General features: G+C 38.2%; 1 protein-coding gene across 11 annotated transcripts in view, besides 3 other annotated features; it reads left to right on the top strand.

The window, feature by feature from the left end:
• Positions 1-21,117, top strand: part of LEF1 (lymphoid enhancer binding factor 1) — a 121,385-nt gene that overhangs the window by 1,418 nt on the left and 98,850 nt on the right. For 6 of the 11 annotated variants that reach the window (XR_007057926.1, XR_007057925.1, NM_001130714.3 and 3 more), the window contains exons 2-3: positions 2,352-2,418; positions 3,814-3,947. Coding sequence is in view for 8 of the 11 variants with exons in the window: in NM_001130714.3 (NP_001124186.1) it covers positions 2,352-2,418; positions 3,814-3,947 (201 nt within the window). In the remaining 3 variants the exon portion in view is untranslated. Of the gene's footprint in view, positions 1-575; positions 858-1,213; positions 1,244-2,351; positions 2,419-3,813; positions 3,948-21,117 lie in introns of those variants that run through there. The other 5 variants (XR_007057927.1, XM_005263048.1, NM_001166119.2 and 2 more) reach the window with 2 other exon arrangements.
• Positions 11-512: an enhancer, noted in NCBI's record as "H3K4me1 hESC enhancer chr4:109088159-109088660 (GRCh37/hg19 assembly coordinates)". NCBI's record gives its function as "activates a minimal SCP1, AML or CMV promoter by ChIP-STARR-seq in primed H9 embryonic stem cells {active_cell/tissue: H9 hESC(primed)}" and the evidence as "EXISTENCE:reporter gene assay evidence [ECO:0000049][PMID:30033119]".
• Positions 11-629: a biological region, named in NCBI's record as "H3K4me1 hESC enhancer GRCh37_chr4:109088159-109088660".
• Positions 390-629: a silencer, noted in NCBI's record as "silent region_15616". NCBI's record gives its function as "represses an Ori minimal core promoter by ATAC-STARR-seq in GM12878 lymphoblastoid cells {active_cell/tissue: GM12878}" and the evidence as "EXISTENCE:reporter gene assay evidence [ECO:0000049][PMID:35858748]".

The following is a 21,117-nucleotide window of genomic DNA, read 5'->3' as shown; positions in this document are numbered from 1 at the left end:
TCCCTGGGAAACTCAGAGAGGGAGGAAGGGAACGAAGGCGCCCGGCCGCCCGGCTGAGGGTCCCGAGTAGATCCCTCGTTTGTTTTGGGGTGTGTGCGTAGCTGGGCCCCCGGTCCGCAGTGTGTGTGTGTGTGTGTGTGTGTGTGTGTGTGTGTGTGTGTGTAGGATGGGAGGTAGAGGGGCAGGGTAACTTATTCCAAATGGATCAGTTTAGGGGGTTCGGTGGCTGAACGGTTGGTTCGCGGGCAGGAACCCACAATGTTTCGCCTTCGGTCTTTTTGTTGGGCTGAGGGGTGCCGTGCTTTAAAGCGAGTAGGGCTGAATAACGCTACTGATAAATTCTTCCGTGGGACGGAAAACAAAGTGCACACGCTATCTCTTGGTAGATGTCTCTGCAAAAGTGCGTTAAACCACCAAAGGCTTAGGTGGAGACGAGCAGAGCCACAGGCGGGAGGAAGGGGAGGCGGGCGTGGGCTGGGGCAGGCGGGGCCGTCCCTACCACCGGTGAGCCGGGCCGCGGGGAGCAGGCCGGCCGATGGGGCGCGCACCCGGGCTGCGGGGGCGGTGCGGGGTTCAGTCCCTGCGGCCCCAGCGCCTGGGCTAGCAGCTGGGAGCTGTGGGTGCGCCGAGCCGACCCACCGCAAGGGTACACCCTGGCTGTACCGCCCCCAACTCTAGTTTTCTCCAACCGCCATCACTTGGAAACAAACCCACAACTTTTATTTGGGGTTTGGGACCGGATCAGGCCTTAAATCTACGCAGAAGAAAGGCGGAGAAGCAGCGGAAGCCGGGCACTAGTCCTGCAGGGTGGAAGGCGCTTTATCGGGTCTTCTGGCCCGCTGCGGGCGATAGAGCTGGTAACCTGAGTAGAGTAAATAGAGACACGTGGGTGCTGGCTAGAGAAAGCGCGGAGCAGGGCCGCGCTGGAGGGCTGTTTGAAGCCTAGTCCAGAGCTGGTCTAGGGGGCGGATGGACCCTGATACCCGACACTCCACTGGTCACCCTTGTTCCACAACTGGGAAACCCTCTGGAGGAAATCCGGTAGAAAAGTCCTGACACCCGAATGATTTAACCAACGCCTTTTCCCTCCAAAGAAACTTGGAGGATATACCTTTTTTTCCTTAAATGGCATCTTTCTACCCCCAAAAAGAAAGTGTGTGGTTTTGAGGGCGGGGACATTTTGGGTTTTAAACAGCGCGTTTAAGAACACCTCAGATCTGCCTTCTCTATCCCAATGGCAGAGGTGAGTACGAATTTTGAAAGGCTGGGGGCCTGCGTTCAGAGAACAGAATGGTGTTCTTTACCCGTTGAATCCAGTTTGAGCGGGCTGGGGGCGGGGGTAGGGTGCACCTAACCCCGCGTAAAAGATTTGTGACTACTGTGTGCTGGGAAAAGGAGGTCAAAGGGAGGACACACGTCCAGAGAACCGAATAACATCCAAAACACAGGCTTTTTGCCAAACTCTCCTATTTGTAGAGCAGCCTCTCTTTCTACCCATTTTGCTAGTCCTGCCTTAGTCCATAAATAATTTTGCCACCCACTTCATATTCTCCACAATTTTCTGGTCCGGGTGAAGGACACTGCGTTCGAATCCGAGAGCACTCGGGTGTTAAGTGGGCATGAGGAGGCCTGAGGGTGAAGGAGTAATACCACTGATTTGCACGTGTTTGAGGCTGTCTGGGTGGATGGTGATTACCAAAACTGATATCAACTGGGCTACCTTTTAGATGTCTATAACCTGACTCTCTAATTTTCCTCCCTTTAACCACAGAATCGTTCTACTTTTGTAAGCCTGCACTCAGCCAGCCATAGTAGGTTATAAGCTCGAGTGGAGCTTCTGCTGTAACTGCGCTCAGGGCAGTTGCCTTAAGACCGCATCTGAGTGGTTGGCTTGTTTATGTTTAAATGCCATTTTCAGTTGCAAAATGATATTTCAGCCTTCTTTTAATCAGATCTGATTGAAGTGAACAGTGGTTGAAGAGGCTATCGAAACCATCAACCCCATTAACTCCTACTCCTGTAATATTAGGCATCCAAGGAGCCTTGATATGGTTTAATAAACAGCAGTCAGAACAGCATGTGGATCATTCCCAAATTTAACTATATTTTTATTGGTTTTGTTATTATTTATACGTTTTTGGTCCCGGGTGGATAATAATCACTCAAAAATACATGTTGACAAGAAAAGGATTATGCAGTACTAAACACTAGCGTATGTCTCTCAGAGTATAAAACAGAGTTGCCCCTAAACCTCTTCCTTTGAATTACCAGCGCACACACATTTGTACCATTATTGTCACAAACTCTAAGGTGATTTTCTTTCTTTTGGGTGTGGGGATTCATGATGTTAGGTGGCCAGACAAGCACAAACCTCTCAGGAGCCCTACCACGACAAGGCCAGAGAACACCCCGATGACGGTAAGACACCCATTCTACTTCTTCTGACTTTAGCAGATAAGGGGTGCAATTTGTATAAATAGGTGTGTTTTGTTACTTTTGAGTTCAAGAAACTGGGACTAGGTCAGACTATGCCCACTATTTTAATGGTAAAGAAAACGCAGGAAACTTATGGCTTACCTCTAATATATATTACATAATTTAAAAACTGTTTTTGAATGAGTTAGGGACCCTTGGATTTCAGGTGGGTTCCAGATTCTTTGGGAAGAGGGAATGTCTACAATGAGTTTTTCTCTTCCTCATCTTACCTTAAATCCTAATTAGCTTAGATCTTTAGTATTTTTAATATATTATTAAGAAGAACGACAGTATATATCGATTTATTTTCCAACCAGAATAGTTTTGAGTGGATTTTCACTTGCAAAATTGCTGTTTCTTGTTCCTTATTACAGTGAAAAGGCCGGCAGTAAATGAGCAGAGCAGAATCTAACTTGTAAAAATATAAAACTTATAATTAGGAATGTGCATATCAGAAATGATACCCTTTCTCCCTATTTCTGATTCTTGCTAAAAACTTTAAAATTACATACATATGTATTTAGACTTAAGGAGAATTCTTTGTGACTTTAAAAGAATCAAGTAACCTTAGGGATTTCTTGTCAGCCTATCTGTTTTCCATTAATTACTTAACAATTGGCCTAACTGAAATGAAGTGTTTTTACATACAATATGTCAACCAGGAGCAGGGAAGAGAATTATATATTAGGCTTCTTCCTCAGCTACAAGATAGTTACACAGATTAACAAGAAGAAATACACATATCGAACAGAAATTTTTTGGCAAAATGATCTAAGTGTAGCACATAAAATTAAGCCTCCCAGAGTTAATCCTTTATAAATTTAGATAGTTGCCTATATACTAGATAACAACTCTTTCAGTAGAATCTAGAAATTTTTCTAGAAATCTGCAAGCACAGGTAGAATCTTTGAGTTTGTCTACAAGGCAAAACATAATTTCAAGTGTATAAATCTCTGTGTTTGTGTGTAGCTAGATGGCCTAATATATTTATATTACATTTTTAAAGTTGTGTGTGTTCTGTATATTTTAGTCCAGTTTGTTAGTATTAGAACAAATTAAGTTAGATGGATAACACTTATTTTTGTAAAAACATCAGTCAGTAGTGGAAGAACTGTTTGAACTACATGTTTTTAAAACATCTGGTTTGCTGCTAAGCTATTTAAGAGAATAAATACTGTCAATCTAAAATAGAGCATAATAATCCAGTTACAGTATTTTGTAAACAAATCTTTTATGTAGGGTCTGATTTATCTTAGAACTATTAGATTTTCAGATGAAAAATACAGTAATATAAAAGGGAAGTCAGTGCATCATTGATTGTTCTTTGGATCTTCCCAGGAAAGCATCCAGATGGAGGCCTCTACAACAAGGGACCCTCCTACTCGAGTTATTCCGGGTACATAATGATGCCAAATATGAATAACGACCCATACATGTCAAATGGATCTCTTTCTCCACCCATCCCGAGAACAGTAAGTAACATGCTGATGTTGCAAATTATGTTCAGAAGTGCAAATTGATTTGTATTTTGGCAGAATGTTTATTTTTCCAAACTCATTGGTAATGCTTTCATTATATATAACTAGTCGTTGCTAAATAAGAGCTGTTATGAGGAATGGCCACCTTAAAACAGTGCTACCTTTGATGTCTTGCCTTTGAAATTTTAGCTTTTGGCTTATTGATTAAAATAAATATGTAACAGATCATAAGTTATAAAATCAAGTGAAGTTACATCAACAAATCCCTGATTTTATGAGTATTGTGCATTCTATGCTGATGAGAGGAAAAAATTGATTTACTTTTTCAGCTAAGTAAGGACTGTATAGCTTTTAATGCCCACAAGCTTTCTAGAATCAGAGCTACTTTAGCTCATTTGGAGCTGAATGTTTGTTATGTTACTTTGGCTTTTCAAATGGTGTCTTGTTTTATTGTATCGGCCAATGTTTCCTTAGGATCGGTTTGGCGGGGATGAGTTATTTTTGCTTTATTGTCAATTGTTGAGAAAGCATCACTCAAAGATAACCCTAATGAAAGTTGTTCCTTTTTTTTTTAATCTTGTGGTTTAGTTAACTTTTAAAATTCTAAAAATGCAGTGGTATTATAACTGCATTATGCAAATGCATAACATTATAAAGAATTTCAGGTTTATTTGATGATATTTCTCTTAGGAAGTGGAAACCTCATTTAAGTGAGAAAATACCTAAATGGTAACTTGTGTAGTATGTAGATGTAAAATGTGCTGGTGATGGAGTTCTCTCTTAGAATTAGCCCACCAGCGTTGGTGACGGACTTTTTACTGACCCATCAATATATTTACCTTCTCTCCAGCCCCACTCTCCCTTTATCACCTAACCCCCAATGAAAAACACATGTCTATGGGTCTCGGGGATTAGGGTTCCAGTCTCACTGACAGCCCTGGAGGTCAAATCTCAGATTGTAAAATGGAACCTATAGTGTTTGACTTACTTGCCCAGTGTTTCTACCAACTGAAAAAAATCAGTCACAAACATCTGGGAAGAGTAACGTTGTTAATACCTTAGTGAACAAAATCTGGGAGTGAGAAGATTCACTAGCAGAGAATAGTGGCTCAAAATCAACAGTTATCAACAAGAGTATTTGTGGTTATCATTACACATAATCTTCAGTTGTTGAAATGATACTTATATCAAATATGATCACTTTGAGCACTGCAATTTAGATGTTATTGTAATTATTTTCCAATAAATTGCTAAAGGATATTTGATCTCTCAGCTAAGGAATAAGCTTTTTCTAATTTTTATATAGTAGTTAAAGTGGAGATCTTGGGGTTCTAATCTTGAGGGAGATCTTGTGATGGTTGCTGTAAGAAATAGGTATTTCATATTTTATTTTAAGGCTTTTCAAGTATTTAATGATAAAGATGTCTGTGTGATGAGGATGAATCTCCTACTTAAAAAGTAATTTAAAAAAGCAAAAATAGTTTAATATTTAGAGGCCCCTCAAATAAATGCTTGAGTTTTAAAAGTTGTAGGAGACTTTAAATTTTTGAACAAAACATACAAATATATAGATATCTCTTTAATATTTGGGCAGGTTTTTTTGCTGTTTTTGGAGGGGGTGGAGAAGGGAAGGAGAATATGTTTTAGATAAGGAATATTTGAAGATTCCTGTTAAATCATTTTCAGAATAACAAATAATCTTTCCAAATCAAAGTAGTGTTGGTGACAATAGAAAATAGCCACAAAACAGCCTTACGTTTTTCAGCTGTGAGTATACAGCATTTGTGGAATTTATTTCTTAAAAAGATCAGCTACTTCTCCTTTCAAAATGGTAATTTTAAAAAATCAATATAATGAAAATTTATTGGTATTTATAAGCAATCCCTAAGAATATTGAAAATTAAGCTGATCTTCCTCTTTATGCCAGCATTCTGCCTTGTGTTTCCACAGTCTTTTCTCCCAATCTACCAGTATACTAGTCATTTTGAAATTTTGATAGAAAATATCTTTTGATAGAAGGTATTTATTGTTAGTGTATGTATTAAAATTTTGAGGTCAGTGAATCAAACAGTCATTCATTGTTTAGGAAAGATTTGTGGCCAGAATAAATGTTGGTCTGGGTAAAGTGTAGGAAAGAGGTGTGGTCAGGAAACAGTTACCTTACCCTGTTATCTGTTGCTTTGCTTTATTCTGTTAAATATTAGGATGTATTTATTTTAGGCATGTTTTCTTGAGATATTCTGCAGTTTGCACAATTCCAGAAGCTTTTCAGCTGTAACCACAAGACTATGTAAATTTTTTTTTTAGGGTCCAACCGAAGTGAGTTACAATCTTTGGTTTTTAATACCTAACAGCTGTTTTTAATGTGTCGGAGATCAAAAACACTAACCGGAAGACAGCCTCTCTTCTTCACCCCTAACCACACTTCTGCCTTCTTGCTCTTTAACTCTGTCCTTAGCAGGGCTGAGTGTTTGTGTCACTAACATCCACAGTGATAGATTTTCATCTAGGGTGTCAGGAGCATGGTGACCATTTGTGTTTGGGCTTAGGATGGGAGCATCCCCTTGGCATCCTGCTTCTTGAATTTCCATTACAAACAATTGCTTGTTTACTGCATCTGCTTCCCAAAAGTGTTAGGACTGGAAAAACACCTGGGGTGGGGGAGGGACCTGACCACTCCTTCCCTAAACAGTCTTCTGTTTGTATCTAACTGCAGACAATCCAGAGGATACCAGCTATGGCCAACTGGCATGCAGAGAAATGTTTCTGCTGGAATCTAATTATAAAAAGTGCATATGCTTTTGCTTATTTTTTAGACAAATGCTACTGTGTGTATCCTGGAACAGATTTTACCTATGACCAATATACAGTATTACCTGTTCAGGAGCACCACTTTCACCTACTCAGCTTTTTTTCTTCTCAAGGGGAATTTTAATTGGCAAATTACATCCTTCTAGAACTGGAATCCTTAGGGGTGTGAATGTGTCTATACCAGAAATCTTATGAATGGGTCTCTCACAGAATTTTAAATAAGAATTCTTAGTTCAGATAAATTGGGTCTAAGAAGAAAGCACCTATCATGACATATTTGGTGTCAGCGTGAGTTCTTAGGGCATAGTAAACTTTGGCTTGAGTTGGTCTTCTTCACAGAGAGTGAAGAGAAGATGCAGAAGCCTGTTAAATATTTTAGAGCCAGGACCCTGGAGAGTTTATTAAAAGCATACTCCCAAACCTTTCGTTCTCTGAACTTTATTTATGAAAATCCCTGTAGGCCAATGGTAAAGTATTAAAAGAAAAAAATAGTTCTTTACATCCCTAGTTTGGCTCTGGCAGTTGTGTGCCTGAACACCGTGTGAATGGTGAGCTTGGCCAGCTTTAATGTAGTGAAAGTTCCCACTGGCCTAATGCACTGTGGTTATTCATCTTAGGCGTCAATCTTCCATTTGTCCCGCATGCAACCCAAATGTTTAACACCTTAGAAAAGAAACATCTCATTTCTCTTCAGATGCTTGGGGAGGGAAAAGCAACACAGTGCAGGAAGCTGCAGCAAACGTTGCAGCTCAGTCACATCAAACCACAATAACACCTGGTCAGTGTAGCGCTGCAAACTTCATTGTTTTTGGTTCTTTGTGATCTTTCTAAGAGTCAATTTTTAGGTGGGAAAGGAAAGATATGGGTGTTCTCATTTCAGCTATCTTTTAAAATGTTTATTTTTTTAAAGTAGAAATTGCTATGAAAATGTTCCATGAGTTCTTTTCTAATTACCTTGTATAACTTAGTTCTGTTGTGACTTTTACCTTAAGGGAATCAACACTTTGGTTTCTATTAAACAGAATTATACCTATTATAACTTTGTCTTACCTACCCTGCATATTTGTACTTGCTTATAAACAGCTAAAATCTGATTTTGTCATTGTTCACATCTGGAATTAAGGAACTAAGTTGGACTTGTCTAATCAGTAAGCTTCTGAATGTACCACTGTACGTGACATTGTTGGATACCTTTGAAAATAATCACATAAATAATATTCAAGGATAGATGGAGACTAAGGCTTATATCTCATGCAAGATTTTTAAGGTAGAGTATCTTTTCACTTTATTGCAAGAAGCTATTGAATTTGACTTAACCTATAAATAATTTTCACTTTTCTATTTTAAGTTGTGCACTTTTTGAAGCTAAACACATTGAGTTTTCCCCTTCAAGTGGAGAATAAGTTTTAGAAAGTGTATTATTCTAACTCAAATGTATATATAGATGTCAGGAGAATGTGTGGGAAAATTCCTCAGAGCCCCCAAAGTTTCCTGTTTGATCCCTCCTTCATGGCATTGCTACAATTTGGGACAGGATCATAGTCAGAATAATTGGAAGCGCTTGCCATTCCCCCATCAAATACCTTATGGCCAGTTTGCTTATTTAAGTGTGCCAGGAAGCCATACTACATGTAACCCTTGCAGAGCTAATATTGCATTTACATGCCTGGTTCTTACTCAGATAGTTTTTTTGAAATGACCCTAGTAGTTTCTTCTTCATTGATAAAGACATGAGAACAACCCAAAAGATAGTCTTAAAAAAAAAAGACCACACACTAAAAAAAAGACCATTGAGCCAATCCGCAAAAATCTTGCTTTTGAAGTATTTTTTCCACTCCCATACAGGTCTTAGATTTGCTCTCATCAACCTCATTATTTTGATCGAGTCTTCCCTGTGGTCCGAGACCCTTATGTGATTTAACAGAGCAGAGGTAGGGTCTCACAAATGGGACTCTCTGGACTTGAATTTGTAGACTCACAAGCACTTGCTATAATATCAATTTTGTAGCGGATGAGTTTTTTTTTTTTAATGTTCTTTAGACAGAACCATTTGGGTTTATGTGATTGAATTTTTTTTTGAGCAATCAAAACACTTCATTTTTGACTCCTTTTGTTCCTCATTTATGTATCATAGACATGACTGGAATTTTATAAAGCTGATTTCCTTTTGATTTTGGTAAAAGACTTGGAATTTAAAGAGAAAACATGCCAGCACTGTCTGTAGCAAGCAGAAAAACATATATGTTTTATTCCCAGGTAAAAGTAGAGCTCAGCATTATGTAGGTGCTGCTGTCCTGGGACTAAAGGTTGCGCGCTCTCTCTCTCTCTCTCTTTTTTTAAGGGAATGTTCATTTAAAACTTGTCCTCTTTGAAGCTGTTGCTTAAGTGTTTGTGCTGAGCTGAGCCAATCTGTAGGAAGCTAATACTGTAGTAATCAAGACACTTAGTACTCTTCTGTGCTATCCTTACATGTCCTTACTTATTTAGAAAAGGCAGCCATTGGATTTTATTCAGATAATTTAAAAATTATACTTTAGGTTCATGATTACTTTTTAAATATTATGATCTTGAATTACCTGCCTAGGAACTGTGGACTCTGCTATAAACTCTTTTAGGGATATAAATCATCCAGTATCTCAGATAGAGAAGATGAAAGCCTTAAAATATCCTAGAGAACAACAACAAAGACTGGGGGTGGAGGTGGGGGGAGTTGGGAGTTAATCTGTACCAAAGTGAAGAGCGGGGAGTTGAGCAGAGGACTGGACAGGGAGCAGGAGGCATTGCTAACTCAGAAATTCTGATAATCTAGCTGGGACTATTTGCAGACTGTTAGCAGAGGCTGTGTAGAGGATTATAAAGTCTCTGTAAAAGAGTGCATTTGTATAATACCCACTGTAGCTAAACCTGTAAACCTGCTGCAATTATCCACTTGTTATCTCTAGATCACTTACAAAGCTCACTGAGCGATGGTACTCACATGCCTTCAATCTGTATAGGGAAAATTGCAAGGGCAGTGCAGAGCAAGCAAGAGTTTTGTTGCCAACCCCATTTTTCCATTTGTAGGAGAAATAGGACTAGCAGAGAAGGTTGCATCACAGAGTGTCTAGAAATACAGTTTATTTTTGCAGCTAGCTAGGGACAAGTAGAATCTTTAAAAAGCTGGATTTGTTGACCGTTGTGTCTACCTATGCTCACACATAACCCTATGTGGAACTTGATGACAGTTTTGCAGATGAAATTTTGATCTTCATCATAGTAATTTATTGTCATTGTTATGTTCACCTGTAAAAAGTTGCCTATTGCTCGAGGCAGGTGGATCACCTGAGGTCAGGAGTTTGAGACCAGCCTGACCAACATGGTGAAACCCCATCTCTACTAAAAAATACAAAAATTAGCTGGGCTTGGTGGCAGGTGCCAAGCTACTCAGGAGGCTGAGGCAGGAGAATCTCTTGAACCCAGGAGTCTGAGGTTGCAGTGAGCCCAGATCGCACCATTGCATCCAGCCTGGGCGAAAGAGCTATATGTGTGTTTGTGTGTGTGTGTGTGTGTGTGTGTGTGTGTGTGTGTGTGTATATATATATAGAGAGAGAGAGAGAGAGAGAATGAAGAGGTAGATATAAGTTAGGGTCTCTAAAAAGGAGAGTGGTTCTAGGGTAGCTTAATTTTCTTTTATTATTGTTGTCAGCTTCTGAATGAAACAGTAACCAAAGCAAAATTTTAAAATTTGACCTACTAAGATATATTTCTTTTATTTGTATAAGTTTATGGAGTACAAGTGTAATTTTGTTACATACATAGATTGCATAGTGGTGAAGTCAGGGCTTTTATAGTATCCATCATCCAGATAACATATCCATTAAGAAATTTCTCATCATCACCCCCCTCCTACCCCCTCACCCTTCTGAGTCTCTACTGTCTATCGTTTGACACTCTATGTCCACATTATTTAGCTCACACTTACAAGCAATAACATGATATTTGCGTTTTTACTAAGATATTTTTATAAATCTTTTTTAATCCTGGAAACCTTACAATAAAAATTATAAAAAATGTTGATGATAGTTAATCATCTAGTAATCAGTTACCATCATAAAGTAACTGGGGGACTATCATCAGCAGTCCTCCAGTTTAAACTCAGGGACTGCTGATGAATTATGTTAGTTACAGTCAGCCTAGCACAGAGTAGAAACCTCAGTAAATGTGCTGAGTTAATAAAGAATGTAGAAGAAATTTTGCATGTGTGTTTTCTGGATATTTCCAAATGATCTGTCTTTATGAAACCAAATGCTACGTGAAAAGTAAAACTTGAAAGTGTTTACTAAGTAATCCTTAGTATTTGATTATTTTACTTTTTCTCTTATTTTTTGCATTGGTGAATAAAGTAGCATTAGACCAGTGTTTTTAATGAGGAAGTCAAAACTACTCCTTATAGAATATAGAGTTTCCAGATAACTCCTGAAAACAGTCAGCCGGGGGAGTGCACTACTGGAATAAATAAAGAATGGACTAGACCCTCATATGAGGATTTATCTTAGGAAGTACTTATCTGTTAGTTAGGTCCTAGAAACCTAATTGAAGAAATGGAGATGATAAAACTGCTTTTTTCAGAAGGATTCTTGAGATGGAAACACAATACTAGTAAAAAGAAAACCATCTTCAAGTATGTTTCAGAATCATGTGGTTAATGCTTTTCAATTCATTTTTATTCTCTTGGCAATAGAAGGAACTTTTTTTTCAGTATCACGAGGTATTTTCAGCTATTAAAAAGTTCTGTCCTTTTCAAATACACATGGCAGCCTCAGTGCTGACTTTTCTAGGCCATTGTGTTTTGTAAATTGATTCTATCCTTTTGCAATGTGGTGAACAAAATTTTTGAGCCTTAATTAGGGAGAGATAGGTAGGCAGTGCCCTATGATGGCTAAACATAGAGAAGGGAAGGACTAGGCTAGATGTTAAAAGACCTGAGATCTAATGTCGGGTCTCCATCATCTTCTTCTGAAAACTTTGGGAAGGTTAAATGGCATATTAATATCGGGCTTGTCTACCTGATCTGATTGATGAGAAGTTCATATGGCACAAAGCCTGCAAAAGCGCTGTTTTCTAGCTGTGGCCGCAGAGCAGGAGTCTAAGATGGTGTAAGTCAGTGCCTTGGGCCCCACCTGGTGGGATTTCTGCAGCTATAAGAAGTGCTTGACTCTACCCGGGAAACTCCAGAGAAAGGGAAGAAACTTTCGGTTCCTATTGTGCCATCATGCTGACTCAGAATTTGGATACTGGGTGAAGGCCTTACACAAACCTTTAGAAAATGTTTGCATAAATAAAAATTCAGGGGAATGTCATCGTATTTTTACAGATCTGATTTTCCTCTCTTGGGCTCGCTTTCCTTGTGATTGTTAGGAGAGCAGCAGATTTTCTTCTTTAGCACCGTAATCCACCATGAAAGGGAATGAGACGTATGAGGGAACAGATTTCTAAATTTCAGGTTTGTTAGCCGAAAGTCTCATATCCTTCTAATATTTGATATGAAATTGCCAGATAACTCTTAACTACTTGAATGGAGTTGAATTGAGGTAAGAATATGTTTTTGGTTAGGAGATTTTTTTTTCCCCCTTAATCCCATAGGAGCTGGGGTTTTCTCTCTACTGCAAAAATTATAGAGAAAGGATATCCAGGAGCCGTATGAAGGACAATGGGCAAGTTATTTTTTTTTGCCCTTCGAATTTCCTTCTGGCTTAAATTTTTCTAGCTTTCTTGTCACCGAAAAGGATCACGTCCAAAGGGATGTGTTGGCTGAACAGCAAGGAGAAATCAATGTTTTTCTAGCCTCCTGGGAAATTCCAGCTTCTTTCCTTTCAGGACTTTTCTTTTTCTTTCAGTAAAATCCCATGAATGTTAAATATTTATATATTGGATGCAGCTTTCTTTGTACAGGATCCCTCAATTTTGAACACTATAAATGGTACCTTAAAATAATTATGGTCATATCATCTTTGTATACTGGTTAAAATGACCTGGATCGAGGGAAAAAGGTGCTGAAATCTTATCTCAAATATATTAGACTTTGTTTTGGCATCTTAAAGTCTGTAACAAAACCAAAATATGAAGTAAATAATATTTACTGTTTATTACAGTTGGGCTGACCAGTCAGCTGTCTGGCAGTGTTAGGAAAATAATCATTGCTTGAATTATTTTTTTTTCTTATTTGTATTCATACATTAGAATTTTAAGTTAAAACTCAAGTTTTTTGGTTTTTTTTTGCTTGAAAAAGAAGGGAAAGCAACTGATTTTTTTTTTTTTTTTTTTTTTTGCTACTACCTTGTGCTACATACTGTGCGAGGCACCTTACAGGGTTGTCATATTTAATTTAATCCTAATGTGAAAACTGGGGTGAGTGTTATACTCCCGGTGTTAAAGACAAGGATCCATCGTCAGCGACAGCAGTAACCTGCCCCAATTTAATACGGTTCCTTAAGGTCTAAAGACTTGTTTGTTTTCATTTAAAATAGCCATATTTACCTTTAAGAATACAAAGTACTTATTAAATTCATCATAATATTGATTAAAATTGAAAGCAGAAGAGAAATTGTTACAATTTTCTTGAAAATTTCAAAAATGCTTAACCATTTTTATTAAAATAAAAAGAAATTTAAAAAGCAATACATGTTCACTGGAAAAATTAGAAAATTCAAATAAGCAAAAATAATACCAAATATTAAATTCCCAGGATCACATTGTTAAAGACGATCACTTTTTCTGTGTGGCCTTTTAGACTTCTTTCTGTGCACACATATAAATGTAGGTAAACAAACACAAATACTTGTTATATATTCATGGCAATAGGAACATAAGGTATCATTTTGCAACTTGCTTTTTTGCCACCAACTTATTATGTATATCTTTTTCTATTAATAAATAATCTTCTGTAACATCATTTTTAATAGATTGCCTAATTTATTTAACCAGTATTTTATTGGTAGACATTTAGATTGTATCACCTTTTTCCCCACCTTATGCAGTACTGTGATGAAGTGCATATATTCTAACTAAAAGTTTGCACAGATTCTGAATTGTTTCTTTGGAACAAATTGCCAGAATTGCAGTCAAAGGCAATGCACCTTTTTAGGTAGGAGTTACCTGCACTGCAATTTAATCTTAAAAACATGTTTATAAAGTTAATATTTAAAAATATGTACTTGTTTACATTCAACTTTCGTTGTGGTTAGTGTTTTGAGGCTGATAATTTTCATGCCTCTTCAAGTCAATAATTAGTCCAGCAAAGTCAGACAGAGGGAAAGTGTAATATCAGCTTTATTATTAATAAGGCCAGACAGTATCAGGCAGTATAATACCAACTGTATTATCAATAAGGCTACATTGGAGAACGTGACTTGAACTGTGATACAAACCATGGACTTCCTTTGATTTTCCTAAATTGAACACAACACCAAGCCACATGCCTCTTTTGCAGAGGCAGGGTGCTCACATCCTGTAGAACTGGAGATGAGACCAAACCCATGTTTGGGCAAGCTGGCCTGACAGAGAGAACAAAGGGTCAGTCTGTCCTTGCTCAGTTCCTGCTTCTAGGTTGCCAAAGAGATGAGTGTCCTTCCTTGTAGAGAGTGCATGAGGTGCTGGGGAGGGAAAAGGGCTACAGCCACTGCTGAGAGGGCAGCAGTTCCTACTTTAGTGACCAAGCTAGGGAGGAAGGGAAAAGGGTGAGGTGATTGTCTCTTTAGTCATGACTTGCAGTCAGTGAGACTAGGGTCCAACCAAGATAATGGTAAAATAAATGAGTAAATAAAAGAGAGCAGCAGCAAAGCACTGCTGTTGGAGTCCATATACCTAGATGCTACCACTCTGCTACTGACTAGATGTGTGTTCACACTCTTTGACCCTTGGTCTCCTCATCTGGCATTGGTGGTGGTATGGCTGGAAGGTGGCCAGTGGCCTCTGAATTACAGGTGTTTCTGTTAAAAAGGCAGATTACTGGCCCCGTCTGCAAATGTCCTGAATCACACACTACAGGCAGGTCATGTAGATGCGCTTTTAACAAACTCTCCATTGATTCTTCTATAAAATAAGTTTTGGAAAAACATTGGCACAGTAGATGCTCAGTAATTTAACTGAGGTTCAGATAATGTAAATGACTTTCCAGAGGTCTCACACCCAGAAAGCAGTGGAGCTGGGACTCCAAGTGTGGCCCTTTGGCCCCAAGCTTACTTTCTCTTCACTCAACCATATTGGGCCCTAATTGAGACCACTGGCACTGTTCACCTCTCGTCAGATCTCATGAGGTTTTCTCCCCGAGTGCCTTGCCCCACTGGCTGTGGGATTAAATCACATTTTGGGGCATTATTTTTAAAAGCTTTCCACACCCTGGAACCATCTCCCTTTCAAGTCTTACCTCCTCACCACTCTGCCTTGCAGCTTATGATTCAGTTACACTCCCAGACCTGCATCCTAAACCCTTTTCCAAAACCCTGTCTTTGGATTCTTATAGCTTGCTCTCGCTGAAATGCCCTGTTCTCTATTCCCTGCCAGCAGGGTCTTGTCCATCCTTAAAGGTCTGGGGTAAGTGCTGCCTCCTCAATGAAGTTCCTCCGGATCCCACCGTCAGTCAAGAGTGACTACTCTCTCTTTCGGGTCCTCATAAGTCCTCCCTCAGAGCTCTGTAGCCATGTTTTCCAATAGCTTTTTGTCTTTGTGTTTGTATTTCTCATTGATTGTTAGTTTCTTTAGGATAGGGAGCATGTCTTATTCATCTTTGTTGCCCAGAACCTGTTATATTACTTGCCACAGAGCAGGTTACTCACCAGATGTTTGTGGAATAAACAGAACAGAAATTTTAAAACTTCAAGAATGTAACGCAACAACACCAGGTATCAATCCGTATTTAAATGGAATCTCTTAAAAATATATAAATTTGTATGGAATCGCAAAGCCAAAATGGAGCTTAGAAATTATTTGAGCATTTCATATAGAATCCATGGACTAGACGTTAGTTATTAGTTTTGAGTACTTAGCACATGCCAGGAACTGTTCTAAACCCCTTCTGTGCGTTAGCCCATTTAATCCTCATAGTAACTCAGTGCTATCTCTGATATCCCTGTGTTACAGTTGAGGGAACTGAAGTATAGAGAAGGTTGAGCAATGGCATGCAGGGCATAGAGAAGGGTAAGGACGACTGTAAACAGGTCAAGAAGTGGAAGGTCAGATAATTTACCCTGATTGCACAACTGGTAAGTAGTGGTACCAGATTGAGGCTCAAGTCTTCACTCTCACAGCAGGGTACTTTCTGCAACTTCAGTTTCTTATTACCATTTCTGCCACTAGCATGCAGAAGACGCTAGATGATTATTGAATCAGTGAGTTTCTCATAGGTAAGATGGAAATGATTCTTAGTAGGGTTTTGTGAGAATAAAATTGGAAATTGTACATTTCTTTAACATATTTTGGGTAGTAATAGCTATTATGATGCTAGTGGATAACACAAGAGTTCAAAGGTGACCAGTTAGATGTGGAGGAGGGAAAGAGTTGTGTAAAAGATGATGAGTGTTCTAGCCTGATGGTGAGAGGACAGTATTAATGGAAATAATTAATTTGGAAAGAGAAGCCAGTTTGAAGACAGGCATTCATGAGTTTAGCTTAGGAATCATTGTTTTCAGTTTTATGCTAAGAAAACAAAATTAACCAAGATCTGGAACCAAACCATTTTACATTATGGGCATCTTTTTGGTCCATACTTTATTTGATGTAAGTCAACAATGCCTCACAAAATCACTTCACTTACCTATGAAGCTTCCTGGACCTTGACCAGAAACCTCCATGTGATTATGAGAAATAAGTATTTTGTCCAAGGGTGAAGAGAGTACTGGTATTAATAATATACTAGCATGTAATATTTAATGATGTACTTTACATGCATTTTTCTTATTAAATCTTTACTAAACAGTATGAAGTGAATGCTACTAATATGCCTATGTTTCCAGTGAAGAAACTGAGGCACAGAGAAGTTACTTGAATGTCCATAGTCCCAACCAGAGTTTAATAAGTGGTAGGGAATTTGGATTCAAAGTCAGGTATTTTCAGGAGCTGGGGCCCAATTCATAAATCAGTTCATCTCTCAGAAGTGTTAAGAGTAATCCTTAGTCAATAAACTACTTTGAGGATTAAAGGTATCTGTTATACTTTTATTAAATAATGTAAATGGCTTAAATAAAAGGTTCTAAGAATACTTGGAAATTGTCTTCTGGTTCATTCAACACATAACCATGTGATTGCTCAATGTATTCTTGAAAATTCCCAGGAAATATTGCTTCCTGGGGTATATCAGACATAGTTTGATAAGTGTCTGATTTTTATGGGAATCTCTATTCCTCACTTCTAGAGGCCCAGTGTCCCCAAGTCTTAGGGACTAAACAGATTAATCAAATAGCTGTATGACCAAAGGTTTCATTATTCTTAGAATCTTTTTGGCAAATGATGTTGCCTCCTTATTACATAAGAACTGAGCATTTACAGGCAAAAGTCTGCCAAAGAGCATTCTTTGCACAGCAAGCAATTAAAATGTGGTATGTGCTTCATTTTTAGGAGCAGTTAGTGGTGATTTTTGTGGTATCATGATGTTGGTTTAAATAAGAGAAATTAGTTTAGAATTAACTGGAATTGTGATCATTCCTGAGAAGTTGCAACAGTGAGTTTCCTTTAAAAAGTGAAGAAACTTTTCTTTCTAAGGAGACATTAGGAACAGTCTTTTCTTCTTTTTCTCAAAAGGAAATATCTTTTTTTTTTTTTGGTTAACAGTAATATATAAAAACGGGGGAAAACCCATGAAAGAACAGAAAAAATAAATAAAAAGTACCTATATTTCTGTCATTCTGATATAATGGTTTCATTTTGATGAATTGTTTCATTTCAGACATTCTTTCTGTATCTATACCTGTAATACAAACGTTTTTGTAAATGAGCTTATAAGATTATTATTCTATTATAATCTTTTGTCATTAAAAATGTATTACGTGTGCTCATCTTTATGTGAATGTAGGTCTGTGTCATCAGTTGTAATGGCTGGATAGTATCCAGTTATATATATATATACACATGTACATATATGTACATATATATACACATGTATATATATGTACATATATACACACAAATATATACACACTTTAATTTATTGGATTTATCCTCAGTTATGGATGTTAAAGTTTTTTTGTTGTTATTTTAAATACCACTACAATGAAACCGTGTTAAAAATATATTTATAATCTATTTTTTTTTTTTTTTTTTGAGACGGAGTCTCGCTCTGTCGCCCAGGCTGGAGTGCAGTGGCACGACCTCGGCTCACTGCAAGCTCCGCCTCCCGGGTTCACGCCATTCTCCTGCCTCAGCCTCCCGAGTAGCCGGGACCACAGGCGCCCGCCACCACGCCCGGCTAATTTTTTGTATTTTTAGTAGAGGCGGGGTTTCACCGCGTTAGCCAGGATGGTCTCGATCTCCTGACCTCATGATCCGCCCGCCTCTGCCTCCCAAAGTGCTGGGATTACAGGCGTGAGCCACCGCGCCCGGCCAATCTATTTGTTTATGTTACTTGCTGGTTCATAGCTTTCTTGATTTAAGATAACTTTTTACATAGTAAGCATGTAAACAGTTTTGACAAACTATTCATGAAATAATGGTTCAAAACTATTTTACACCAACATCATGTATCTGTTTCTTTACTCCTGCACAATTAAGATCTGCTTGCAAGTTAATATGTAAAGAACTTGCTACTTAATATAAGAAAATTCATAGTAACTCAGTGCTATCTTTGATATCCGTGCAGCATTAGTTTGGTTCATTATTTATATTTAATTTCAGGAGTGAAGATGCTAATACAGCTCTTTTGACCCTCATAGGATGGTGCAATAACCAGAAAGCACATCTTATTGCAGTTCACTAATTATATGTTGTTATAGGAGTTTCTGAACTAATCCTAAAGTTTAAGGATAAACAAGTTTCCTGGTAGAATGAAGATAAATCCTAAAGAATGTTTTCAGGAATGATTTATCATTCATTCCGTAAATATTCATTGAAGATACTTATTTTGACAGTCAGTGTGCTGAGCCCCATTGTGGATACATGATGATAAAAGCAGAGTCACCACCCTCTAGAAGCTTACAGATTAGTGAGGGAGAGACACTTGTGCAAACATCCACAGCTGAGCAGAGTGAGGCAGGCATGACATCACTACTACAACCCAGGGATACAGGTGTGAACAGAGCCTAGCCTGCTCACCCTGGAGTGTTGCAGCCTAGTAGAGCAGTTCCAGAGGACTGTCTTTATATGTACTATTCATTCTTTACCTGCTTTCAGTTCCATGTGGCCCATTTGAAGCATGGTGGGGAATATTTGGTTTACTTGTTTAAAAAGGGTTGTGTAGACACCTCTGGGCTGGGCCAGGAAAGTTGCTTGATAAATTTTTTTTTTTTTATTAAAAGAGCATTCATGTTAAGTAACCTAAGACTATTTAAGAATAGAACTCAGAAACTCAGAACTATTTATAGAGCATTTGAAATGAACAAGTTTATAAACATTGCTGCCAAGTTAACTGATGGTTGGTAAGAGTGGAGGCCAGGACTTAGACCCTCTTCTGTTTTATGCTGTTGGTACTGTGTCACTGTTTATTTAGTACCACCACCAGAAACCTTTACCTTGTGTGAGGCACTTGCTTTTTGTACTATTTAACCACATTTTAAATCGTTGTTGTTAAATTTGACTACAATTTGAATTGGGCAAACAATATTATGAAGGTAGATAAGTTTTCATTTATTTACATATGTCATGTAGTGGCTGAGAACACATGCTCTGCATCTTAAGTGCCTGAGCCCAAATCCAGGATTAGCCACTTACTACAGGTGGGAAAATTGCTTTACCTTTTTGTTTCTGTTTCTTTACTCACAAGTACTTTAAAAAAATTTCTGGCATCCTAACGGTAAGTTGGAAAGAGTAGGAAATGACTGTTTCAAAAATATTATTTAGTTACCACATATAGGAAATACGTGGTCTGAATTCATTGCAGGGAATCACTGTACTGCTAGGAATAAGGTGTCAACATAGGACTGTGAATTGCAGGCTTGAGGATATTAGATCCCATTTAGTGAATAATGTGAAGCCAACAAAAAGTTACATAATACAGGATTATATGTACTAGATTTTATGAGGGCTTCTTATGTATCTATAGAGGAAAATGGAGATTAAATTTTTCAAAAAGAAATATTTCCTCCTAAGATGGCTGGGTATAAGGAAAAAACAGAGGCCTCTGTGTAGTGGTGAGAGAAATGTGACATTTAAGCTACAAATGAAAAAACCGTTCATAATTCAGGGCTATCTGAGATGTTTGTTTTTGTTCTTATTTGTTATTTTAATCTTGAGTTAATTCAATAATGTCTATGCAAATTTGAAAATATTGGCTACCTGAGAAAAACCTTTTAAAGACTTTTTTTTTTTAGGCTTCTATTGTTGCTAATCTCGTGGTAGAGGAAAAAATACTGACATGGAGTTAGGCAAGTCATTGACTAGCCATGTATCCCTGAACAGACTAGTCCCTAACTTCTTCAAGCCTGTTTCCTTCTCTCCCTCCCTCCCGGGCCTCTCTCTGTAACCCAGGCTGGAGTGCAATGGTGTAATCAAAGCTCACTGCAGCCTCAACCTCCTAGGCTCAAGTGCTCCTCCTGCACTTCCCAAAGATTCAGGTATGAGCCACCGCACCCCACTGAGCCTCAGTTTTCTTATCTGAAGCTCTAACAAAGGACTGTTGTGTAGACTAAGGGAAACACGGTTGTGTCAGTATGCTTCCCGTGCTTAAAAGCTCCTGGACTTCTTATGGTACCAGACTTTAGAGCTCACTCAAAGAAAACACACTTGCATTTCTCTTGAGTTGTTTTATCGATACAGGTTGAGTAACCCTAATCCAATATGTGAAGTGCTTCAAAATCTGAAACTCTTTGAACACTAACATGAAGATCAAAAAACAAAAACAAAAAACTTGTCGGAGTTTTTAGGATATTGATTTTCCCATCAGACATACTGAACCAATAGGTATATAATGCAGATACTCCAAATCTGAAATGAAATCTGAAATGCCTCTGGACCTAAGAATTTTGAATAAAGTATACTCAACCTGTACTGAAAGCATCAGAATTTACGTCAGTGCTTTTTAAGAAAGGAGGTTTTTTCTGCTCTAGAGGTGAAGCAAGGTCTGATGCTATGAGAAAGGTAGAAGATTGACTCAATACTTCTTTTTGCCTGGTTCTGGGAGGACATCTCATATGTTAATAACTTATTAGGGGCACCACAAGTGCATACCTAT

This window comes from Homo sapiens, chromosome 4 (genome assembly GCF_000001405.40).
Source record: "Homo sapiens chromosome 4, GRCh38.p14 Primary Assembly".
Classification (NCBI taxonomy): Eukaryota; Metazoa; Chordata; class Mammalia; order Primates; family Hominidae; genus Homo; species Homo sapiens.
The sequence above is the reverse complement of the archived record's forward strand: the minus strand, read 5'-3'. Positions and strand labels throughout refer to the sequence as shown.